At 40.4% G+C, this 27,333-nt stretch overlaps 1 protein-coding gene across 9 annotated transcripts in view; it reads right to left on the reverse strand.

The window, feature by feature from the left end:
* UQCC1 (ubiquinol-cytochrome c reductase complex assembly factor 1) overlaps positions 1–27,333 on the reverse strand; it is a 109,396-nt gene that overhangs the window by 67,915 nt on the left and 14,148 nt on the right. For 4 of the 9 annotated variants that reach the window (NM_199487.3, NM_018244.5, XM_011528879.2 and 1 more), the window contains exons 2-5: positions 23,600–23,704; positions 13,546–13,641; positions 11,426–11,533; positions 3,692–3,764 (exon numbers count right to left, since the gene is read on the reverse strand). In NM_199487.3, coding sequence (NP_955781.2) covers positions 3,692–3,764; positions 11,426–11,533; positions 13,546–13,641; positions 23,600–23,704 — 382 coding nt within the window. Of the gene's footprint in view, positions 1–3,691; positions 3,765–11,425; positions 11,534–13,545; positions 13,642–21,743; positions 21,786–23,599; positions 23,705–27,333 lie in introns of those variants that run through there. The other 5 variants (XM_011528878.3, XM_011528881.4, XM_011528877.2 and 2 more) reach the window with 4 other exon arrangements.

Here is a 27,333-nt window from a genome sequence, read left to right on the forward strand (position 1 = left end):
TTTGGAAGCACTTTGGTTTGATATGAAAACTTAATCTACCCACAAATGACAAAGATGGGCCACAACAGAATGTAATAAAAATGAACATGCTATAGGTCTCAAAAGGAAATTCTCAAATTGAGTCTCAGAAAACCTGAAGAGTAGCGTTACTAAAAAATTTACTTTCTCCCTAGGTAACTACTTCAAAGACTAAGCTAAGACAAAGCTCACCAATAGATTCACACTATAATTAGTATAAACATCAGTTTCCAATACTAATAGAAAATCTCACAGAGGTAGTTTGCATTTAAATATAACAAAATACAAAAAATATTAAAATGAATTACATTTTCTAATTTGCAATTACACTCATTCACAGACAATATGTTATAGTGGAGAAATCCCTGGATTTTAAACCAGACAACACAGGTTCAAGGCTTGGCTAGGCAACCCTGGGTGAGTCACTTAGCCCCTTTGAGCCTCAACTGTTTCTGAAAACAAAATAAAACAAAATGAAAACAGTAATACAAGCCCTTCCTAGCCCACAATATTTTGTAACTCCTAAATGAGACAAATATAAAACCATACTATATGAGCTAATAGTATAAAACAGTTATTTATAAACTTTTCTTAAGTTTTATAAGTAGTTTACACCAGGCTATGAATTGAAACATGATATGTTAAATACGTAAAAAGTCTTATTATTCAATACTACAATATTAACTGAAGAACCTTCAATAATGAACAGCTGGCCAAGACAAAGTTATCTAGTAAACATCCTTTCAAAATAATTCTAAGAAATTTCTGAGTTATTTATTGAATCAAATATAAAATAGACATTAAATAGACATCTGAGGATGAGGGTTTTTTTTGTTTTTTTTTTTGAGATGGAGTCTTGCTCTGTCGCCCAGGCTGGAGTGCAGTGGTGTGATCTCGACTCACTGCAACCTCTGCCTCCCGGGTTCAAGTGATTCTCCTGCCTTGGCCTCCCGAGTAGCTGGGATTAGAGGCACCCACCACCATGCCCAGCTAATTTTTAGTAGAGGGTGGGGGTTTCACCATGTTGGCCTGGCTGGTCTCAAACTCCTGACCTCAAGTGATTCACCCACTTCAGACTCCCAAAGTGCTGGGATTACAGGCGTGAGCCACCGCGCCCAGCCTGAGGATGAGGTTTTAAAAAGACCTGATGAAAAATACTTCACACATGGATTCAAGAAGGCACTTAAAGAAAAAAAAAAAAAAAAAAAAAACAGGCTGGGCATGGTGGCTTATGCCTGTAATCCCTGCACTTCAGGAAGCTGAGGCAGGATCACTTAAGGCCTAAGACCAGGAGTTCAAGACCAGCCTGGGCAACATAGTGAGACCCTGTCTCTACAAAAAATAAAAATAAAAAAATGACCCAGGCATAATGGCATGTCTTTGTAGTCCCAGCGACTCAGGAGGCTGAGGTGGGAGGGTTGCTTGAGCCCAGGAGTAAAAGGATGCAGTAAAAGGGCTAGAGCCACTGATTCCAGCCTAGGTGACAGAGCAAGATCATCTCTTAAAAAAAAGAAAAAGAGGCCGGGTGTGGTGGCTCACGCCTGTAATCCCAGCACTTTGGGAGGTCGAGGTGGGTGGATCACAAGGTCAGGAGTTCGAGACCAGCCTGGCCAATATGGTGAAACCTCGTCTCTACTAAAAGTACAAAAAAATTAGCCGGGCATGGTAGCACATGCCTGTAATCCCAGCTACTTGGGAGGCTGAGGCAGAATTGCTTGAATCCGGGAGGCAGAGGTTGCAGTGAGCCGAGATCACACCACTGCAGTCCAGCCTGGGTGACAGATTGAGATTCTGTCTCAAAAAAAAAAAAAGAAAAAGAAAAAAAGCAGTTTCTAATATTAATAGCTTCATCAGATAGAGAAAAAATATTTTTTCCTTTTGGACTAACTTATCCTAGACTAACAAAGAAGCAGGAAAATATTCTTTCCAGGTTATGAATAAAGAAGAAAGGAAAGGTGAACACTAAATTGGAATTATAATTCAGTATGGTATTTCAGTTTTTGGTGTCAATCTGCTGAGACAGTAAAATAAAATGATTTGTATTTATTTGATTTTTAAAAACCAAAATAGGCCAGGTCCCATGGCTCACGCCTGTAATCCGGAACTTTGGGTTGGGAGACTAAGGCAGGTGGATCATGTGAGGCCAAGAGTTTGAGACCAGCCTGGCCAACATAGCCAAACCCTGTCTCTACTAAAAAAAATACAAAACTTAGCTGGGCATGGTGGCGTGCACCTGTAGTCCCAGCTACTCAGGAGGCTGAGGAACAAGAATCACTTGAAACTGGGAGGTGGAGGTAGCAGTGAGCCAAGATGGCACCACTCCACTCCAATCTGGGCAATAGAGCAAGACTCAAAGCAAGTCTCAAAAAACACGATGCAACAAAAAAATAGTTATTAAATAACCAAAACTGCACCCAGCTTTCTTCATTGTTGTGAACACAATTATATACAAATATTTGCTGCTAGAGAAAAATCTCAAATGTATACAGTTAGGTGTATGCTGCTTTGAGGATGTGACTATTACCACAGAAGTACACAGCATACATTTCCTTCCAAAACCTGTGGAACTGGAAATGATTTAATCTCTCCCAATTACAAGTACCTGCTTTAATTAACTTTGTTAATAATATAACTGTTTACAGCATCAAAATTAATACTGTGATAACAATCAACTGCTTCTGACAGTCTAAACCAGCAAAACCCTTTTGGAAAGCAATTTATCAATGAGATATACATAATAAAATTATATATGCCTTTTGACCCAATAGTCTTTTAACATGAGAAAAATCATAATTAATCCAGGATTAATTAAAACAATTAAAAATTAAAAACAGGAATAGCTGGCCAAACGTCCATGTCAAAATGCTAAGTAAAACATCCAGAATGGGCCAGGCACAGTGGCTCACGCCTGTAATCCCAGCATTTTGGGAGGCCAAGGAGGGCGGATCACGTGAGGTCAGGAGTTTGAGACCAGCCTAGCCAACATGGTGAAACCCCATGTCAACTAAAAATACAAAAATTAGCTGGGTATGGTGGCACATGCCTGTAATCCCAGCTATTCGGGAGGCCGAGGCAGGAAAATTGCTTGAACCTGGGAGGTGGAGAGGTGGAGGTTACACTGAGCCAAGATCGTACCACTGCACTCCGGCCTGGGCTAATAGAGCAAGACTCCATCTCAAAAAAAAAAAAAAAAAAAACCATCCAGACTGTAAAACAGAATATGTTTACTATGATATGAATACTCTTATGTAAAAAGATGCATGTGTGGACAAGGGAGATAATGTCAAAGTACAGTTTGTTTGTTTTTTCAAAATAAGCAAAATGTTTTATTTATAGGATCCTTTTGCTCTCTGTTTACTCTATTAAAAAAGAAAAGCAGCTGGGTACAGTGCCATGTGCTTTTAGTCCCAGCTACTATTCAGGAGGCTGAGGTGGTAGGACTGCTTGAGCCCAGGAGTTTTAGGCCAGCCCGGGCAACACAGCAAGACCCTTGTCTCTAAAGAAATATATACAAGAAGTTTTTTAAAGAGACAAATAGACAGTTTGGATTATATGCTTTGTGCAGGAAAAACTGTTTCACTAGGGACTAAAAAAACCTATCCTATTAAAACACAACCATAAAAATGAAATGTAGATTTGTTCTCCTTTTCAGTACTATCAAACAATAACTTACTTAGAAAGAATTCCTCGAAGTCAGTTTTCTCCACACAGCTAGTATACATGCGCAGGGCCGCAATCTTAATCTTCTAGACAAAGAGAATAAAACCAAACTCAAGACATGACCAAGTGGATGTTCTACTTCCATTAGACATGGGTCACAAAATCTTATATTTCTTCAACTAGAAGGAAGGGTCCAAACCACTCTCTAGGTAATTTAAACCAATATAAATTTTTTTTGTTTTCTTAGAGCTTAGCCATTCATACAGACTTCACACAATTTTCATATTTTAGGACTTTAGCATGAAAACCTCAGAAAGGCTTTTCCAATATTTAAATGAAATCTCTCATTTAATTCCAACCTACTTCACCACATTTGTGCCTCTAAATCACTGTTCAGCATTATCCACATTAACTCTTTAGAATCTGAAATCCTTTATAGTAAAAAAGTACACATTCTTCTGGCCAAAATCAAAGAAATATACAAAAACCCTCAAGCCTTTAATCTTTCCTCAGAGGCACTACTATCTATTCTATAAATCTCGGGGGATGGAGTAAGCGGTATCTTTTTTCCAGATCTTTAATTTTATAGTTTGCTGATTAACACTGTGTCTGTAAATAAGGGTTTCTAATGACTGTAAAATACAATATAAGAATCAAACTTTTACTATTCCCAAAGCACTAGGAATTCTCTTAGGCTTTTGATATGAGTGGTGGTTTTAATTTTTTCACTGAGCTGTATACTTAAGATTTTTATATTACACTGTATATAAATTATGCCTTAATAAAAATAAATCTAAAAATAAATTATTTAAGAGTTGACTTATGGGTCTGAAGACCAACTCAGCACTCTAGGAACAGGTATTTTAAGGACTTTCAAAACATTTCATTAAGGATATAACTAAATAAATGAGCACTTCAACAAGGCTTCTAGAAGCTTATTTTTTCTTATAACAACAGGGAAAGTTATAAACTCAAATATGCATAGACCAAAAACAAATGTGTACAGGCTGAGAATGACATAGCAACTGAAGAAAAACCAATCTAGAATTTAGTGGAGCTATGATACTAAGGTTTAAAGTCACCAAGAACATACTATACCCAAAACTATATAATGTTCATGTTTTTCTAAATTCTCTAGAGTTAAAGCAAGTGTCTCTGATGGGTAGAAATACCCATAGCAAATTAAAGAATGATTACGTCTCTGATTGTAATTAAGATATTTTATTTGCTAACTTGAGATCTGTCATGTTTTTAAGAGCTTCCAGTCTAAAGTTAATACAGGGGAAAATAGGACATATAGAAATAGACAAATAAAAATCAGATATCCCTATCTGGGGAGTAAATCAGCATTAGAAGCCCACGTTTAAACAAAACCCATGGTGAAATGCTAGAAAAGCAAAGCAAATTAAACCTAAAAGCAAGCAGAAAGAATGATATAGTAAAGATCAGAAATCAACAAAACTGAAACAGGAAGATAAAATACAGAAAATTCAAGCCAGGCCAGGCATGGTGGCTCACGCCTGTAATCCCAGCACTTTAGGAGGCTGAGACAGGCAGATCGGCTGAGCCCAGGAGTTGGAGACCAACCTGGGAAACATGGCAAAACGTTTCCATCTCTACCAAAAATACAAAAATTAGCTGGCCATGGTGGTGTGTGCCTATAGTACCAGCTACTCAGGAGGCTGAGGTAGGAGGCTGAGCCTGGAAGGCGGAGGTTGCAGCAAGCTGAGATCACGCCACTGCACTCCAGCCTGGGTGACAGAGCTGGACCTTGCCTAAAAAAAAAAAAAAAAAAAAAAGGAAAATTGAAGCCAAAGCCGTTTCTTTAAAAATATCAATAAAATTAGGTTGGGTTGTGGTGGCTCACCCACCCGGCTCACTAATCCCAGCACTTTGAGAGGCCAAGGCAGGAAGATCAACTGAGGTCAGGATTTCGAGACCAGCCTGGCCAACATGGTGAAACCCCGACTCTACTAAAAATACAAAAATTAGCCAGGCATGGTGGCAGGCGCCTGTAATCCCAGTTACTTGGGAGGCTGAGACAGGAGAATCACTTGAACCTGGGAGGGAGAGGATGCAGTGAGCCGAGATTGTGCCACTGCACTCCAGCCTGGGCGACAGAGCCAGACTCCGCCTCAAAAAAAAAATCAATAAAATTGATAACCTATAAAACTGATCAAGGAAAAAGAAAAGCCCAAAACACATAAGATACAAATTTTCAGTATCAGGAATCAGAGAGCAGACATCACTGCATATCCTAAAGACATTAAAAGGATAATAAGGGAATCCTATGAACAACTTTACTCCAATGAATGTGATTACTTAGATGAAATGGACAAATTCCTTGAAAGATACAAACTATTAAAGCTCACTAAAATAAATAACATGAACAGTCTTGTATCTATTAAAGAAATTGGATTTGTCTTTAAAAACCTCCCCACAATGCAAACTGCAGACCCAGATAGCATCACTAGAGAACTGTACTGAACATCTAAAGAAATGTTATGAAATCAGCCAGGCGCGGTGGCTCACACCTGTAATCCCAGCACTTTGAGAGACTGAGGTGGGCGGATCACGAGGTCAAGAGATTGAGACCATCCTGGCCAACATGGTGAAACTCCATCTCTACTAAATATACAAAAATTAGCTGGGTGTGGTGGTACGCGCCTGTAGTCCCAGGCTGAGGCAGAAGAATCGCTTGAACCCAGGAGGCAGAGGTTGCAGTGAGCTGAGTGCGCCACTGCACTCCAGCCTGGCGACAGAGTGAGACTCCATCTCAAAACAAAACAAAACAAAACAAAAAAAAAAAGAAAAAGAAAAGGAAAAAAGGAAATGTTACGAAATCTACACAAACTCTGCCAGAAAACAAGAAGAAAGGATATTTCCCAGCTCATTCAATAAGGCCAACCTTATCCTGATATCAAAATCAAAGTCATTAGGAGAAAACAAAACTACAGAACAATAGCCTTCATGAACATAGATCATTGATGCAAAATTCCTTAAGAAAATATTTTAAAATTAAATCCATCAATATTTTTAAAAGGATAGTATATCATAATCAAGTGAAATTTATCCCAGGAATGCAAAGATAATTCAACACTGACAAATCAATCAGTTTCACCATATCAACAGACCAAAAAAAGCCTGTTTAATTTTGTTAACACTTGCAGTTCTAGGAAGTATCTGACCACAGAACACATCTTGGGAAGCACTGGTCTGTGCCATTACCAAACTAATGATAATCTAATAATATCATGATCCTAATAATTTGGCCTTGACAGGCCTACTCCTATCCTTAAGACAGGGAGTTCAGGACATCTGCCCTAGCTCCTCACTTCATCCAATAATTCACTGAGTACATAACTCAGTGCCTGGCACTGATCTGGATGATGAGAATAGAGCAGTGGGCAAAACAGACAAAAATCTCTACTCTCATGGAGCTTACGGCCCAGTTCAGCTACAGACAAGTATGTAACTTTAACTAAAATTTCTAATCATCTATTTCTTGATTTTTTTAAATCTTGTAATCTCCTTCAGATTCCTATATATAAAGTCCTGGGTTCATAATTAATCACCTTGCCTGGAGACTTGCCTTCAAGGCCCAAGGCCCAAGTCTTTCCTTGAGAAGGAAGCTTCCCCAACAACACGTTTGTGAAAAAGCATTCATCACAAACAATGAAGACTTCACCAGATTGGCCAGAGTATGTTTTCAGTGCTCATGCTATGGCAATCAGGAGCATTTTATAGTTCTTCACTTTTCCTGCTGCAAGGCCAAGCCTTTATACTTGGGTGAGCCATTTTCCTGGACAAATCTCTAAAACAAGTCTCTAAAGACTATCACACAGAGACTGGAAATAATAACTTGAGGAAAGAACCTCATCAAGAATCATGCACTGATCTGAGTTAAGGACGTAGGGGGACTGAATTTTCAACCAGTCAATACAAGTTGTTCTGGTCCTTGGATGACTTCATATTTATTTCATTTTAATTTTAGAAGACTTCATCAGTCATCTTTTACTTGAGTAAAAGAGAGGCACCTTGAACAGCTTTAGGAAATGAAAATCTGCTCTCCCACGAACTAATGCATTTTTTAACATCCTACAGGATGAAAAACAAATCTAGTAAAATGCTTGCATTAACAGCTATGTAAGAGTTTGAAAGGGCCTGGCAAGGTGGCTCATGCCTGTAATCCCAGCACTTTGAGAGGCCGAGGTGGGCGGATCATGAGGTCAGGAGTTCTGAGACCAGCCTGGCCAAGAGACCAGGGTGGCCAGTATGATGAAACCTCATCTCTACTAAAAATACAAAAATTAGCTGGGCGTGGTGGCAGGCACCTGTAATCCCAGCTACTCGGGAGGCTGAGGCAGGAGAATTGCTTGAACTTGGGAGGCAGAGGTTGCAGTGAGCCGAGATCGCGCCACTGCACTCCAGCCTGGGCGACAGAGCGAGACTCCAACTCAAAAAAAGATAAAAAAGAGTTAGAAGGGTGTTTTAAGTAATTTGAACCTTCTATTGTCTACTGGAAATCCTTCTACAGCATTCTTGATTCACAGTCAACCATCTGGGCCTCTGTTCAAACAAGACCAATGACCTTGTAAGGCTACCTGTCCCACCTGAGGACAATTCTTGTTAGATTCTTATTTTGCTAAACTTAAAATCTGCTTCATATAACATTCATTGAACATTATTCTGCCCACTGGAATACCTTCTTTTTTTCACATTTGCCCCTCAAATACCTGAGAAGAATCATCCTGTCTTCTCTTTTCCAGGCTAAGCATCCCTATTTCCTTCAACCGTTCTTAACAGTTTCTGAAATGTTCATAAGGCTCACTGCCTACCTCTGAATACATTCCAGTTTGTCAGTGTCCTTCAGAATAGGAATAACTTTTTGGCTTAATGCTAATATGGAAACCTATTCTATGGCATGTGGCTGAGTTGGGTAAATATTGTGCTTATCTCACCTGATACTGCATATAAAGGTAATTTTTTAAAATGATGATTCCAAGATACTCAAATAGGTAAGGGAAAGCTACATTTAAGATCCTAAACATGATTATCAAACATGGGAATAACACATGAAACCTAAAGAAAAAGATAGAGAAAAGATAGCTGATACTGCTGATGTGGACAGACATGCAGGTATTTTACTCCCTAATCAAATACATGTGAAAACACAAAACAAATAATTTTGCCAGTGCAATCCAATACAAGTGCATTGATTTGAGTCAACATTGCTGAAAACGGTTCTGTTTTTCAAAATGAAAAGTTACACATACATTTTCACATCTCAATTACACTAGAATGTCATACGTTGATATTGTGATGTAACAAATTTTAAAATGAAGGTTATAGGCTGGGCGCAGTGGCTCAATCCTATAATCCCAGCACTTTGGGAGGCCAAGGCAGGCGGAATCACTTGAGGTCAGGAGTTGGAGACCAGGCTGGCCCAACATGGTGAAACCCCATCTCTACTAAAAATACAAAAGTCAGCCAGGTGTGGTGGCATGCGCCTGTAGTCCCAGCTACTTAGGAGGCTGAGGCAGGAAAATTGCTTGAACCTGGGAGGCGGAGGTTACAGTAGGCTGAGATCACGCTACTGTACTCCAGCCTGGGTGACAGAGTGAGACTCTGTCTCAAAAAAATAAAATTAAAATTAAATAAAATAAAATGAAGGTTATAGAAAGTACACACCATCACATCACAAGAGTTTTAAAATGCAAACATTAGGGATTTAGTTGATGTCACAAGGGAACCAAGAAAAATCAGAGGCTAACTTAGGCTAAAAGAGCAAAGGAATTTTCCTGATGATTTAGTAATCCTCCAAATGATAGCCAATTTTCTCTCTAGAATCATTAAAAAACAGCCTAGACAAAACATATGGTAGCAACCAAGTGGAACCCAATCACCAAGAAATGAATAAAACTGTAAATGTTTCTTTTCTTTTTTTTGTTTTGACTTCCCTCTTAATTTCTAATTTTCAAACAAAACATATACTTTAAGTTTGTAAATCCAAATGCCATAAGCATAACATTTTTTTAATAGGGGAAAAGATTCTGGTTAAAAACATTACCAAGTATATCAACAATTATCAAGTGTCAAAAATTAAGATATTAAAAAATACAACTTTAAAGAACATAACTAATATTTCATTGGCAATTAAGAAGATACTTCATAACCTTAGGGACTCAAGAACATCATTGTCAGTATTTGTGTTCTTTCTATATTTTTTCAAAGCTCCTTAAAAACAAAATGCTTGTGGAATTACTGTTCACTTTTCAGAATTCAGGTAAAAGAGTAATTATAGAGAGAAGCTCATATTTGCTGTAGTGAGAATTGTTAGAAAGAGAACCAGACACCATAAGAAGAAACCACAAGTAGAAGTCTATAATAAAATTGAAATTCTAATTTGAATCCAACTTGTTAAAATGGTGTAAGTGGCATTACTTGGTTGTTCTCAGTAAAGCTTATATATTTTCTAGAAAAATCTTCCCTACTGCTTTGAGTGGGCTTGCTTTGACTTATGACTGATTAGGCTTACCCAATATTCCAGCAACCCTGAAAGGCATTAAAAGGCACTTCTGCCATAGTGAAAGAGAGAAATGGTATTACAGGTTGAGTATTCCTTATCTGAAACGTGTGGAAACAGCAGTGTTTTGAATTTTGGATTTGGGGGGATTTTGGATGCTTTGCATTATACTTACCAGCTGAGCATCCCAAATCCAAAAATCCAAAATGCTCCAGTGAGCATTTCCCTGGGGCATCATGTCTAAAAACTCCAAACGTTTTAGATTTTGAATTTCCAATTTTCCAATTTGGGATGCTCAACCTGTTCTAGGAGATAAGTGGGCTGAGAAGAACTGAATCGCTGATGTTTTATTTCTATAATTGGTTAGAGGTATTATTATAAAAGCCCAGGGGCAGTATGCATCTGAGGCAGAGAGGACATTCATTCATTTATAGCCACTACTATTATAACAGATAATGTGCTAGGCCAAGAGTTGACTGGGAGTGACATGGTTAACAAATATCCCTCCATAATAAGAATTACAATAGATCGTGGGCTTAATTAGTTAATAAAAAGATGATTAGTAAAATTTTAAAGAAAATCCCTTATAAAATATGGGTCCATCAGAAAGTAATGCTTCCTTAAGAATGTTGCCAATCAGAACATTTGGCCCATCTGACCCCTCAGAAGTCATCTATATGGCATACCATGCAGCAAGGGCCTGGAAAGCCCAGTCTTGTTGCCATGCCTGCTACTATGAGATGCTTCTAAGGAATCAGGTGGAGGGACTAGTTCAGCCCCACATGTTGTATAGATCTGACTGGAAGCAGCAAGAGGTTGTGGCACGTGGGCAAAGATATTTTGAAGAAGTTATCAGAATAATGTATGGACCTTGAGAGCTTACTTGGGAGGTTCTGGCAGGGGAGTGCAGCTACTCATATACCCTTGATCAAAGAATGGTCCTCCTCTATTGGAGAAGGTCATCCTCTTCAACCAAGAACACAGCTTCAAAAAGGTCGCACATAGAGTGGTCAAGGAGGAAGGGGACACCCGCCTACCCAGCCAGATCAGCCGAATCAACCCTGGTGATCAATGGGGTGACAGATGTCGCAGCTAGATCGTCCTCACATCCAAAATAATGTATGAATTCCATGAAAGCAAAGCAGAAGCTTTAAAAAATCTATTAGGAGCAGAAAGCACAATGCCCAAAAGGAAAAATGAGAAGAACTTAAAGGACTTTACCCATTTACTGTATTTCAAAGGTCCCGTGAATCCCATGGCTTCTATTATCTTTGTGAAAGCACCAACCTTCTCCTCAACAGGCTGTGGGGAATCTTTGGTAGTAGAAAGCTGATTAACCAAAAAGAAAAAAACTAAAATTAGTTGCAAAAAATTTTTAATAGAATGCTTTGTTCCTCATCAGGTCTGAGAGCATTTTTTTTTTAAATACAGTCAGGGTCTCCTCCCCTCACCCAGGCTAAAGTGAAGTGGCACAATCATAGCTCACTGCAGCCTCAAACTTCTGGGCTCAAGTGATCCTCCTGCCTCAGCCTCCCAAGTAGCTGGGATTACAGGTGCACGCCATCACGCCAAGTCAATTTTTTAAATTTTCTGTGGAGGTGGGGTCCACAGCCTGTTGTTCTCTGGAGAGGGGGGGTCCATAGCCTATTGCCTAGGCTGGTCTCAAACTCTTGGCCTCAAGCAATCTTCCTGCTTCAGCCTCCCCAAATGCTGGGATTACAGGTGTGAGCCACCATGCTTGGGCTGAGGGCATTTTTATTGCTTAGATTTTTGTTTTCACCTACAATTTTTAATTTTCTTTTTTTTTTCTTTTTTCTTTTTTTTTTTTTTTTTTGAGACAGAGTCTTGCTCTGTCGCCCAGGCTGGAGTGCAGTGGCGAGATCTCGGCTCACTGCAAGCTCCGCCTCCCGGGTTCCCGCCATTCTCCTGCCTCAGCCTCCCGAGTAGCTGGGACAGGCACCCACCACCACGCCCGGCTAATTTTTTTGTATTTTTAATAGAGATGGAGTTTCACCGTGTTAGCCAGGATGGTCTAGATCTCCTGACCGCATGATCTGCCCGCCTCGGCCTCCCAAAGTGCTGGGATTACAGGCGTGAGCCACCGCGCCCGGCCTAATTTTCATTTTTTTAAGCATCTTATCATTCAGTGAAAACACATTTGGAACTGTACCTAATAGATGCCCTCCAAATTTCAGAGCAAGACATGCCTACCTCATTGACTGTATGTCTATTAACCCATATCTAGCAGATGACAGATGTGGGGTATTAGAATAAAAGTTCTATCAAAAAGAAGACTTTTAAAAGGAAATCTTGACCCCCATCTCCCAAGAACAATTCTGAGAAGTAAAACATTCTATGCTTATTGATGTAATAGGAAAAGGAAAAAAAAATACTGCCTGAAAGCAGTCAAAAGTCATTCAAAACTGCAATCAAGCACTGAATGTTTTTAAACTCTTGCATTTTTTAGTAAAGGTATCACAAATTTTATTAATGACTACAGAGTCTTGTAGTTTGCAAATAACCTCCAAGGAAAGTCTGTTCTAATGTTAACCCTCTCCAAGCAAAGGCAAGCTATCTAACCAATAAAAAATTATCCAAAAGTTAAATATCACTTTATTTTTAACATGTAAAAAATTCATATGTTTTCCTCTTAAGTGTTTTCCAGACACAACAATGGAAGAAACATAGGACATAGCCTCAGAAGGCTTAGGTCCAAATATTCAGGCTGGCATGGTGGCTCACACCTATAATCTCAGTAATCCCAGTACTTTGGGAGGCCGAGGTGGGAGGATCACCTAAGCCCAGGAGTTCAAGGCAGTAGTGAGCCATGATCATGCCACTGCACTCCACCAGGGTAACAGAGCAAGACCTCATCTGTTAAAAAAAATTTTAAAAACAATCCCAGCACTTAGGGAGGCTGAGGCAGGAGGATCGCTTGAAGCCAGGAGTTTGAGACCAACCTAGGTAACAAAACGAGACCCTGGTCTCTACAAAAATTTAAAAATTGGCAGTACACAGTGGTGCATGACTGTAAGTCTCAGCTATTCAGAAGGCTGAGGCAGGAGGATAGCTCGAGCTTGGGAGTTCGAGACTACAGTCAGCTATGAAGGCACCACTCTACTCTAGCCTGGGTGACAGAGCAAGACCTTGTCCCTGAAAAAAAAAAATTCATTTTGTCTGCCACTTACTTACCATCCTTGTGACCTTGGGCAAGTCACTTTACCCCCTGAGCCTCACCTTCTGCATTCGCTAAAACTCACCTAGCTAACAATTTTGTTGAGATCCAAAGAACACCTGTGTGAAAGCACTCTATAAACACAGAATGCACTGATAATTCTCACCTTACGTGTGGTGTGATACTTCCTATTCAGCTGTATGTCTATTCCAGGAATCTGTTCTGATCCACCACATGCTCGGGACTGGCTCATCTGGGGCCACTGAAGAATAAAAACACAGATCTATGCAACACTGAGCACTTACAGGGTTAATCTGAACAGAGCTGTTTCAAAGTAAAGACTATAGGATCTTTCCAACCTTACTTAGCCCACTTCCCCGTGATCAGCTCACCAGGAAGACCCAAGATCAGCACCTAGAAGGGTGTCTAGTACATGGTAGATGCCCAAGAAATATCTGTTGAATACCTGAAGAAATAAAAGAATTTGGGCCAGGCACAATAGCTCACACCTGTAATTCCAACACTTTGGGAGGTCAAGGTGAGAGGATTGCTTGAGGCCAGAGTTTAAGACTCAGCCTGGGGAACATAGCAAGACTCTATTTCTACAAATTTTTTTTTAATTGGCTGGGTGTGGTGGTGCATGCCTATAGTCTTAAGCTGCTTGGGAGGCTGAGGTGGGAGGATCACTTGAGCCCAGAAGATCGAGGCTGCAGGGAGCTATCATCACACCACTGCACTTCAACCTGGGCGACTCAGCAAGAGCAAGACCCTGTCTGTAAAAAAAAAAAAAAAGAGAGAGAGAGAGTGAATTCAAAGGCCAGGTGGCGTGGCTCACACCTGTAATCCCAGCACTTTGGGAGGCCGAGGTGGATGGATCACTTGAGGTCAGGAGTTTGAGAGCCTGGCCAATATGGTGAAACCCCATCTCTACTAAAAATACAAAAAATTAGCCAGGTGTGGTGGCACATGCCTGTAATCCCAGTTACTCAGGAGGCTGAGGCAGGAGAATAGCTTGAACTGAGGAGGCAAAGGTTGCAGTGAACCAATATCATGCCACTGCACTCCAGCCTGGGCAACACAGCAAGAATCGGTCTCAAAAAAAAAAAAAAAAAAAAAAAAAAAGAATTCAGCCCTGGAAACCTGGAACTACATCTAAGTCAATTCTAGGAAACAGAACTGTAGTATCTATCTATTTAAATATGGGCAGCAGTGCCGTATATGGGGAAAAAAATAAAGACACCAGCCACTTTTAGGTTTAAAACCTGCTTCTGTCGCCTACGACAAGCTCAGTGGCCATGGAAAACTTACTGAACCTCAGTTGCAGTAAGGATGAAAGAAGGTAAGATATATAAAGTGCCTTTCACAAAATAGGCACTCAATAAATAGCAGAAGTTTCCATCATCACTATCATCACCAGCATTATTGTTTGGATCACAATCGCCACCTTTTTCATGTTCACATTGCATTTAAAAACAATTTGGCAATAAAATAGCCGTTATTATGTGCCAGATACTATACAGAATGAAAACTGGGAGGAAAGTCCATTAAGGAGATGGTTAATGAAAGTTCAGTCACTCAGTGGAAAATCAGGTATCCATTGAGGGTTTTTTGTTTTGTTTTTGTTGTTGTTGTTTTGTTTTTGTTTTTTGAGACAAGGTCTGGCTCTATGGCCCAGGCTGGAGTGCAGTGGTGCAATCTCAGCTGACTGCAACCTCCACCTCCCCGGCTCAAGCAATTCTCCTGCCTCAGCCTCCTGAGTTGCTGGGACTACAGGCATCTGTCATCACACCCTGCTGATTTTTGTATTTTTGTAGAGACAGTGTCTCCATATGTTGCCCAGGCTGGCCTCAAACTCCTGGGCTCAAGTGAGTGATCTTCCTGCCTTGAACTCCCAAAATGCCTTGAACTCCCAAAATGGGACTACAGGCATGAGCCTGGGTGCCTGGCTGGGATTTTTTTTTTTTTAAATAGACTTTTTTTTTTTTTTTTAACAGCAGTTTTAGGCTCATAGCAAAACTTCCTGGAAAGGGCAGAGTTCCCACATACCCCTTCCCCCACATGCACAGCCTCCCCCGCCATCAACATCCCATACCAGAGTGGTGCATTTGATACAAAGAACAAACCTACACTGACACATCATCATCACTCAGACTGCACGGTTTACTCAGAGATTATTATTATTGTTAACAACATGAAAAATGTTAAATGCTTATAATATGTATAAAATTATAGGTAAAACATGACTGCGTAGACTGCATATGGGCAAGTTTAGAAAGAACACACAAGAAACCAAAGAGTTATTTTGTTAAGTTAGAATTATGGATAAATTTAAGAATCTATAGCCAAAATAATTCTGGCAAAAAAAAAAAAATCTAGTTTCCAAACTCTCACTAATGCTATATTACCTTTACAATAAAAAAGGGTGAGAGGGAGCAGGAAGAGGGCTGACTCTTCAATTCTGGTTTATTCCAAGAAGAAATGGAACACATGGAATGAAAATGATTTTTTTTCTTTAACCCTAACGAAGAAAAAATAGAATTTCTAATTGTGGAATGTTACTATTTACTTTTCTTTCCAAACGAGGATATTAAAAAATTAGTCAGGATTCTTCTGGTCAGTCCCAAGGACACTTAGGCTTTAATTCATAAGTATCAAGCAGGCTTTGTAAAACACAGACTAAACACAGAACACCTCCCCATTACATCACATACATCAATGCAATGGTCCACCTAAAACACAAAGCACTTAAACTGGTTCAAAGAACACAGCCAACAGCAGTTTCCACAAGCTGTGCTTTGGGCTGGGTCCTCTTCTATTAGGTTCTATTAGATCCTTCTTTTTCCTCACAGCTCTAGGAGTAACCAGTAGATTCCTTCTGTGGCTGTCCTACCATCTACTGTATTTCTATCCTACCATTAGCTAACATTTCACACTATATTGAACTACTAAAGTACCTATGTATCTAGTATCAAGGACATCTAGTTTCTCCACACCTACACACTTATAAACACACACATTTACTTTTTTGTACTACCCACTCTTGTCCTTGCACTTCCCGCAAAAAATTCACTCGACCCTTAAAGACCTCAATTTTTCCTTTGCTTAGATTAGAAAATATCAATAGGCTGGGCGTGGTGGCTGACGCCTGTAATCCCAACACTTTGGGAGGCCGAGGCGGGAGGGTTGCCTGAGTCCAGGAGTTAGAGACCAGCCTGGGCAACATGGCAAACCACCATCTCTACCCCCCTCCAAAAAAAAACAAAAATTAGCCAGGCATGGTGGTGTGTGCCTGTAATCCCAGCTACTCAGGAGGCTGAGGCAGGAGAATCGTTTGAACCCAGAAGGCGGAGGTTACAGTGAGCCAAGATCATGCCACTGCACTCCAGCCTGGGTGACAGAGCAAGGCTCTGTCTCAAAAAATAAAAATAAAAAATAAAAAAACAAGAATGACAGAGGCAGAGAAGTAGAAAGGGGGTGCTGGGACAAACTCAAGCGATTCTTGAATACCATGGGCGTGTGTGTCTGCTCCTTTTAGCAACTATAAGCTCCAGGGCACAGCCCATCTTATATGTCTGTCATTTTCTGTCCCAATACTCAACACCATTCTGGGCATGAAGTCATTACTCAATAAAAACTAGGTGGATTTTTTTTTTTTTTCAAAGAGGACAACTTTGGAGAACGTCCAAAAAAAGAACCACAGGAATGATCAAAGGGATGAATAAAAGGTCCTAGTGGAAAGGTCAAAAGGAATTTAGGCTGTTTAGCTTGGAGAAAAGGCAACTGAAGAACTAAAGAGTAACTCAGAATAACAACACTTGAGCTGGAAGAAATCTCAGAGATATTCTGGTCCAACCTTTTCACTTCACAGATGAGGAAACTAAGACAAAGGGAGAGGTTGCAATTTGGTAAAGGTAATTTTAGGACAACTTTTTTTTTTTTTTTTAAGTTTCATTTCATACAGTGAGGAGAAAACTTTCCCAAGCAACAGGAACATAAATAGCAACAAAAATAGCAATTGCAACTTACTGAAGATCTCCTGTATGTCTAGTACCTACCTACATGCTTGGTGTTTTACTTATGTTATCTCACAACAATCTTATAAAGTATATTTTCCTATTTTTTTTTTTTTTGAGACGGAGTCTCGCTGTGCCCAGGCTGGAATGCGGTGGCATGATCTCGGCTCACTACAACCTCCACCTCCTGGGTTCAAGCAACTCTCCTGCCTCAGCCTCCCAAATAGCTGGGATTACAGACGTGTGCCACCACGCCAGCTAATTTTTTTATTTTTTTAGTAGAGACAGGGTTTGACCACATTGGCCACCCTGGTCTCAAACTCCTGACCTCAAGTGATCAGCCCACCTTAGCCTCCCAAAGTGCTGGTATTACAGGCATGAGCCACCACACCTGCCCCTTCTATTTCTTTTTTTCTTTTTTTTTGAGACAGGGTCTTGCTCTGTCACCCAGGCTGGAGTACAGTGGTGTGGTCATGGGTCACTGCAACTTTGACCCCCCCAGACTCAAGGGATCCTCCTGCCTCAGCCTCCTGAGTACCTGGGAACACAGAGATCCAGCTATTCCGGATTTTTTGTAGAGATAGGGTCTTGCTATGTTACTCAGGCTGGTCTCAAATTCCTGGCCTCAAACAATCCTCCCACCTTGGCCTCCAGAAGTGCTGAGATTACAGGCATGAGCCACTGTGCCCGGACTATTTTTTCCTGTTTTAGAAATTAGAACACAAAGGCTCAAAGAAGTAAAGTTCATTAAAGACTAGGATATATACTCAAAGCTATGTTCTGTCCGCTATATCAAGCTGCCTTCAAAAGTCTGAGTAGAGTTCAACAACACAGGCTCATGCACACTTAATACCCAGATCTTGATTTCTAAATACTGCTCTCCAATAGAAGGAATCGGGGCTGGGTGCGGTGGCTCATGCCTGTAATCCCAATACTTTGGGAGGCTGAGGCGGGAGGATCACCTGAGGTCAGGAGTTCAAGGCTAACCTGGCCAACATGGTGAAACCCCTTCTCTACTAAAAAATATAAAAATTAGCTGGGCGTGGTGTGTGCGCCTGTAGTCCCCAGCTACTCGGGAGGCTGAGGCAGGACAGTCACTTGAACCTGGGAGGTGGAGGTTGCAGTGAGCCAAGATCGCACCACTGCACTCCCACCTGGGCAACAGAGTGAGACTCCATCTAAAAATAAAAAATAAAAAAAATAAAAAAATAAAATCAGGACTCCTTGGAGTAATGTTTGAATCTAGGGCCAGGGCAAAGAAAATACAGCATGAACCTGAAACATCTTGTGGTGCCAGCAATTAAGAGAGTATTCAAAAAATGATGGGGGGCATGTAGAAAGGCGTTCCCAATAGCCCAAGCTGGGACAATCTAATCAACAAAATAACTAATTGGAAAATGAATTATAAGCCGGGTGCTTATAATTTGCACCTCTCTTTGGGAGACCGAGGCGCATAGATCACAAGGTCAGGAGATGAAGGCCATCCTGGCCAACACGGTGAAACCCCATCTCTACTAAAAATACAAAAATTAGCTGGGCGTGGTGAGCTCGCACCTGTAATCAAGCTATTCAGGAGGCTGAGGCAGGAGAATCACTTGAACCCGGGAGGCGGAGGTTGCAGTGAGCCAAGATCTCGCCACTGCACTCCAGCCTGAGTGAGAGAGTGAGACTCCGTCTCAAAAAAAAAAGAAAAGAAAAGAAAAGAAAATGAATTATAACTCAGAAGAAAATAAATATCCATGAGCTCATACTGGTATAAATAAATAATTGAATAAATAAATAAATGGGGAAGAAGTGACAGCTCTTTCTTACAACAGAGTTCCAGTTAATAAATGTAGGAATGATGGAAATAAAAAATCATTAGACAAACACCACAATAATGATCACTGCAGTGAAGAACCATCAATGCAATTATCATATAATCCATCAATCCTAATTCTGGGTATATATCCAAAAGAATTCAAAGCAGGATCTCTAAGATATTTGTACACTGACATTCACTGCAGCATTATTCACAATAATGTGTGCAAGAGACAGAAGGAACCCAAATGTCCATTGATCCAAATGGATAAAGAAAATATACAATAGAAGAGTACGCAGCCTTAAAAAAAGAAGGAAATCCTGTCATGTGCTACAACATAGATGAACCTTGAGGACATTATGCTAAGTGAAATAAGCATGTGCCAGTTATAAAAGAACAAAAACTGTATGAGTCCACTCACATGAAGTATCCTAAAGTAGTCAAAATCACAGAAACAAGGCCAGGGTGATGGCTCATGCCTGTAATCCCAGTGCTTTGGGAGGCTGAGGCGGGCAGATCACTCGAGGTCAGGAGTTTGAGACCAGCCTGGCCAACACAGTGAAACCCCGTCTCTACTAAAAATACAAAAATTAGCCAGGCGTGGTGGTGAGCACCTGTAATCCCAGCTACTCAGGAGGCTGAGGCAGAAATGCTTGAACCTGGGAGGCGGAGGTTGCAGTGAGCTGAGATTGCACCACTGCATTCCAGCCTGGGCGACAGAGTGAAACTCCGTCTCAAAAAAAAAAAAAAAAATCATAGAAACAGAAAGTAGAAAAGCAGGGTGGGGAGAGAATTAGTGTTTAGCATAGAGTTTTGCAAGATGAAAAAGTTTATAGAGATCTGTTGCAAAACAATGTGAATATGCTTAAATTAACATTACTGAACTGTACACTTATAATGGTTATGACAATAAATTTAATGTTAACATATCATTAAAAAAAACCACCAATGACTGCTAAAATTAGTAAGCAAAAGTATAATGTGAAATGGGTATCTGCACAGTCTCCAAGTATCTCCTGACAAGATACTAATTACAAAGGGAAAATACTAACTTTAGAGTTCAGGAACCTGACAAACACCAATTTAACCAAGTGGCCAAAGTTATAAGACCTACTAGCATTATGTATCCCCTGATATGATGCACTGAGAAGGGAATAACATCATTTTTGCCAAAAATGCATAACCTCAATCTCATTATAAGAAAATATTAGAAAGGCCGGGCTTTCTATATTATAGGTGGTAGCTCACACCTATAATCCCAGCACTTTGAGAGGTCGAGGTGGGCGGATCACCTCGGATCAGGAGTTCAAGACCAGCCTGGCCAACGTGGCAAAACCCCTTCTCTACTAAAAATACAAAAAGTAGCTGGGTGTGGTGGCGGGCACCTGCAATCCCAGTTACTGGGGAGGCTGAGGCAAGACAATCACTTGAACAGGAGGCAGAGGTTGCAGTGAGCCAAGATCGCACCACTGCACTCTAGCATGGGTGACAGAGCAAGACTCTGTCTCAAAAAAATGAATAAAAAATAAAAGAAAATAAAGAAAAAAGAAAAGAAAATATTACACAAACTCAAATTGAGAAACATTCTACAAATAACTGACTAGTACTCTTCAAAAGTGTCTAAATCTTGAGAAGAAAAAGAATAAGAAAATGTGACCAGACACAGTGGCTCATACCTATATTCCCAGCACTTGGGGAGGCCCACAGGGGTGGATCACTTGAGGTCAGGAGTTTGAGACCAGCCTGTTCACCAAATGGTGAAACCCCGTCTCTACTAAAAATACAAAAATCAGCCAGGTGTCATGGCACATACTTGTAATCCCAGCTACTTGGGAGGCTGAGGTGGGAGGATCGCTTGAACCCAGGAGGTGGAGGTTGCAGTGAGCAAGATAGTGCCACTGCCAAGATAGTGTCATCCACCCTGGACGACAGAGTGGGACTCTGTCTTAAAAAAAAAAAAATGAAAATTTAACAGATTGGAGACGACTAAGAATATATGACAACTGGATTTGTTATCGCAGATCAAAAAAGGACATTCATAAAAAAAAAAATTGACAAAATTGGAACAAATAGACTAATTAATAGTATTATTTCAATGTTAATTTCCTGGTTTCAGTAATTGCACCATGGTTATGTAAGAGGTTAACATTAGGGGAAGCCAGATGAAGGCTATTTGGGAATGCTACTACTTTTACAACTCTTACATAAGTCTAAAATTATTTCAAAATTTAAAAAATATTTTTAAGTAGACAGAACTTCAAGAGGCTAATTAAGACAAAGCTGAAAGTATGTCTCTAGCTCTTTGAAAACAATAATAGGATTACAGCACTGGACATTACCTTACAGATACCTGATACTACCACTCATCGAAGGAAGGATTCCTTTATGTCAGGCCCTTGACATACATTCATCCTACCACTGCCTGAATATTTCCAGTAAGAGTAAATTTACTATGTGAAAACGCAGCTCACACATCCCATTATGCACAATTCTAATTAACAAAACTCTTTCTCATTCTGAGCCAAATCTTCCTCCCTGTGAGACATGTACCTGAGGATGCCATTCTGAAGCAGAAGTTTCCAACCAGGGGACCTCAAAGATAGGAAGATACTCCAGTAAGTTACAGTCGATACGACAAAAGGTCCAGTTGATTTACAATGACTAAAATTACATCTGGTCAGCATGAGATAAACCACCCTCAGTTATTTACATAAATGCTTTGCTATAATGTTGTCCCAGAGCCTAATACAGTACCCGGTACTTATTAGGTGCTCAAGAAACGTTTACTGACCCAAAGAGTAGGGCACAAGTCAGAGATTCATATAATGAGTTATTTTCCCCTACCATCTACACACATACAAATAACAAATACTATTAAAAATTTGTACAAAAAGTAACAGAACACAGCCCAAGCTCTGAAAAGAAATACCTGCATAACTACCCAAAGTAGACGCCTCTTCTGCACAGGCATATTCTCCATTCATTCAACATATACTTAGTGACTACTCTGTGCCAGGCATAGTGAAAAGACCAGGAAATACAAGAAAAAAGCAAGATGTCCTCAGAAGGGCAGGGCTTACACATTAATTGGAGGGAATTTTTAAGTAGATTATATATGTTACATAAATTATATAATATATATAATTACATATAGCAAACATATTTTTAATTGCATCGAATACGAAAAAGAAAGTTAATGACTACAGATAAAAATCATAAATTGGTAAGAAAAATGAGTTCCCAATAGATGAATGGAGAAATGCCATAAGCATACAATTTTCACAAACTGAAAAACAACTGATCAATACAGAAAAAATACATAACCCTGAGAGCTAAACAAAGAAATACAAGGTAAAACAAGGTAACATTTCTTACCCAATTTATTTAAGTTAAAAAAAACTCAACTTGAGAGAGGTAATAATGAAAAACTACTTATACATACATTGCTGGTGGCAGCATAAATTAAAACAACCTTTTGAAGAGGCAAACTGTTCATACTCTGACCCAAGGTATGCCTTCCTAGGAATTATTAATAAGTAATTAAAAGTAAGAAAAAATATGTGCTAAGACAATGGTAAGAAAATTAAAGCTTATAATGGCAAAAAAAAGGAAATGATTTTCATATCAAAGGCTAAGTAAATAAAATATTATATGGTCATTAAATTTTTAATTACAAAGTCTATCAAAACAATATGAATAATGTCCACTCTAATAAGTGAAAAGGTACCAGAATATAAACTTCTGTGGACATTTGTTAGGGTACTTCAGGAATAACATTACATATACATACACACACACACACACACAAACACACACAAACACACACACACACACACACACACACACACAGGCTGAAAAAGAACCAGCAGAGATAAAATACTGACGTTTTCAGATTTGAAGTCATAGATGATTTATTTCCCTTATTACTAAATTATTTGTATTATTAACAAAAATCAGGAGGGACACAAGGTCCAAGGTAAACTACATTATAATGATTAGGTGGTCAATGGTAAATGAATACCTCAAATAATTGTTTCTTGGATTTTATATTCATATAAAGGAAAAAGAAATAATTATCACGCCCAAATAAAAGTAGCACAAGATGGCCACAAAAAGAAAATTGAAAAAGGTTAACTCGGAGATGAATATCTGGAAAAATTCCCTAACAGTAAAAATCATCAGACTGTAGCATGGTATCCTAGGCTAAGTTCCACTGCTAGGGTATTTAGAAGCAACGCCCTAGACACCATACTTTAGGAATCAGTCCTAAGTTGGCACCACAGAGACCCAGAGTGGTCTCATGAGGTTTTTCCATCACACAATTTGGTTGGCTAATCTATAAATACATGACATTTGCACATAAACACTAAGGTTTTCATACTAAGCAAAAGAACAACAAATCTTACCTGGGAAGTGCGAGACAGAGCCCTGTCCCCCTGTCCTTGGGTAGGAGACACAGGTATCAATCGGCTGCATACTGGAACCCACTGAGAAATGCTAGTCTGGTTCCTCTAAAGAAAGAAAATAATAATCTGTCAGGAATCTAAATCATACTCCCTACATGGAAGGCAAAGAGTGTACCTGTGATACTGTAATATAATTAGAAATATATATTTGGCCTTCATCTCTAGTTCCTGGCACAGAGCTCCTAAAACCCTTGGAATTTCTGAGTGAGGGGGGTGTCTGTAACTCATAATAAGCCCCTTTCAACCATACCTGAGTTTATGCTAATGAGGTGATTCATGCAGGATGGAGGCTGGTTGCCAGAGAAACCTACCACAGGAGTAGAGGGTTGGAACTCAGCCCCAACTCCTCAAGGCATCCCCACCTCCAGGAGAGGAGAGGGATTAGAGACTGAGCCAATCACTGGTACCCAGTGATTTAATCAATCATGCCAACAATAAGCCTCCACAAAAATTCTAAATGACAGAGTTCAGAGAACTTCCGGTAAAGATGAAAAACTCTTTTTTCTATACTCAACACTCCACTTCTGATACCAAATGTGCAGGGGCAAGGGGTCTCCATACCAAGCAATTCTCTAGTTCTCTGCAGACACCAACTGGGTGTCCTACAATTTAACTTAATTCTTAAACTAACTGCCTGGAGTTAGCAGAGACCTCACAGCACCATCCAACAGGACTGTCCCCCACTTCAGACTCCCATCACAAGTAGTGGGTCCCCAGGTTACTCACACTTTTGTCCAACTTGTCCATACATTGGGGGTTCCCACAGCTGCCTCCTCAGATTCAATAATTTGCTAGCATGGCTCAACTCGGGGAGGCACTTCACTTACTTTTATCAGTTTATTATAAGGGATACACCTCAGGAACAGCCAAATGGAAGCGATGCAAAAGACAGGGTACGGGGTGGGAGCTTGCTCTCCGGGTGTGCCACCCTCCCTACACTTTGATGTGTTTACTAACCTAGAAGCTCTCCAAACCCAGGGATTTCTATGGAGGCTTCATTACGTAGACATGATTGATTATCACTGATCACTGGTGATCAGCTCAATCTCCAGCCCCTCTCCCCTTCCAAAAGTCAGGGAGGAGTGGGAGAAGCTACAAGTTCCAACCTTCTACACACATATTTGTTCCTCTAGCAACCAGCCTCTACCCTCCAAGAGTCACCTTATTAACATAAACTCACTGCCGGTCATAGCAGCTCATGCCTTCACTCCTATTATCTCAGCACTTTTGAGAGGCTGAAGCAGGATTACTTGAAGCCAGGAGGTCGAAACCAGCCTGGGCAACAAAGCGAGACCCCCAGCTATACAAAAAAAAACCCATAAACTCATGTATGGTTGAAAGGGGCTTATTATAAATAAATAAAAAAAAAACCATTCCTCTCACCCCAATCACTCTGCAAGGGTTTCAAGAGCTCTGTGCCAGGAACCAGGGATAAAGACCAAATATATATTTCTTCTCTCACAATATCATATCTGGGTTGCAGCCACAGGCCAGGAGGGTGGCACACTCTAATTCCACAGGGACAGAAGCAACTACACTCAGGACCATTCCAGATCTGGCCTTTAGTACCTAAGTTTAAAAATCCTGCCAGAATGGGGTATCACATGAATGAAGAACTTCCAAAATGGGACCAAGACCAAGCCTCCACATGCTCATTTCTCCAAGGATAAGATAAACCACTGCCTACTACTGATTCCACAGACTAAAATAATTCTGGTAATAGGTGACTCAAGCAGTGGGCACGGGCTCCCTCTGGGAAGAGAAACAAAATAAGCAGACTTCTGGCATTTTATGATTAGATTATAATTCAAATTACGGTTTGCAATGTCTTTTTTTTTTTTTTTTTTTTTTGAGGCTGAGTCTCGCTCTGTCACCCAGGCTGGAATGCAGGGCCATGATCCCAGCTCATTGCAATTTCCACCTCCTGGGTTCAAGCGATTCTTACGCCTCAGACTCCCAAGTGGCTGGGACTACAGGCATGAGCCACCACATAGGGCTAATTTCTGTATTTTTAGTAGAGACAGGGTTTCACCATGTTGACCAGGCTGGTCTTAAACTGCTGACCTTAAGTGATCTACCTACCTCGGACTCCCAAAATGCTGGGATTACAGATGTGAGCCACTGTGCCTGGCCTTTTTTTTTTTTTTTTTTTTTTTAAGAGACAGGGTCTCACTACATTCCCCAGGCTGGAGTCCAGTGCCTAGTCATGGTGCTAACATTGCACACTACAGCCTCAAATGCCTGATGCCTGGGCTCAAGTGATCCTCCCACCTCAGCCTCCCAAGTAGCTGGGACTAAAGGCTTGCATAGCTGTGCCTGGCTTACAATGTGTTTTCATAAACACTGACTTACTTACCTGATCTTCATAGAATCCCTTTATAGTAAGCAATGCTGAGATCATCATCATCCCCAAAAGGAGGAGGAAACTAGGGTAGAAGTTTTGCAGTGGGAAAACACACGTGGGCAACTTGATTTCCAAGACAAGAGAGATTAAATGGCTGTTCAAGCTAAAACTGAGATTCACGTTTTCCCTCTAACATGAAGCTCACTTCAGAAAGGTCTCTTGGCCAAAGTGAGAGGCTAGGCTGGAGAAAGGGATAGCTCTCTCTTGCTAAATAAGAAGTCTGCTTTATTTTATGAACCTGAAATACATTCCACTGTATAAATGATAGCCATGTACACAGCACTGGAAATCTTAATTTTAGGAACCAACTCTAGGGATCTGAGGGTTTTCTTCACTTGACCTGTAGACCTTATAGGGCCATAATGAGGACCAGATACATAAATTGCTTGAAAATCCTTTGCCAAGCATAATGTATAACACAGTCAGCCCTCCACAGCCATGGGTTCTGCATCCATGGATTCAGCCACCCACAGATTAAAATATTCAGGAAAAAAATACCGGGCATGGTGGCGTGTACCTGTAGTCCCAGCTACTCTGGAGGCTGAGGCACGAGAATCACTTGAACCCAGGAGGCAAAGGTTGCAAGTGAGCAGAGATTGTGCCACTGCACTCCAGCCTGGGCGATAGAGAGGGAGACTCTGTCTCAAAAAAAAAAGAAAAAAAAAAAAAGAAAAATCAGGCCGGGCGCGGTAGCTCACATCTGTAATCCCAGCACTTTGGGAGGCCGAGGCTGGCGGATCACGAGGTCAGGAGATCGAGACCATCGTGGCTAACACAGTGAAACCCCTTCTCTACTAAAAATACAAAAAAATTAGCCAGGCGTGGTGGTGGGCGCCTGTAATCCCAGCTACTCAGGAGGCTGAGGTAGGAGAATGGCATGAACCCGGGAGGCGGAGCTGGCAGTGAGCCAAGATCACGCCACTGCACTCCAGCCTGGGTGACAGAGCGAGACTGTCTCAAAAAAAAAAAAAAAGAAAAAAGAAAAAAAAATCAGGAAAAAAACATGCCATACTAAACATGTAGACTTTTTTTTTCTCGTCACTACTCCCTAAATAATACAGTATAACAACTATTTACATAGCACCTATATTGTATTAAATGTAAGTAATCTAGAGATTATTTAAAGTACATGGGGGAATATATATAGGTTATATGCAAATACTATGCCACTTTGTATCAAGGACTTGAGCATCCACGGATTTTGCTATCCGAGGGAGGTCCTGGAACCAAAGGACCAGGGATACTTGGGGACAATTGTACTAGGAGTCAA

Source organism: Homo sapiens, chromosome 20 (genome assembly GCF_000001405.40).
Source record: "Homo sapiens chromosome 20, GRCh38.p14 Primary Assembly".
Taxonomy (NCBI): Eukaryota; Metazoa; Chordata; class Mammalia; order Primates; family Hominidae; genus Homo; species Homo sapiens.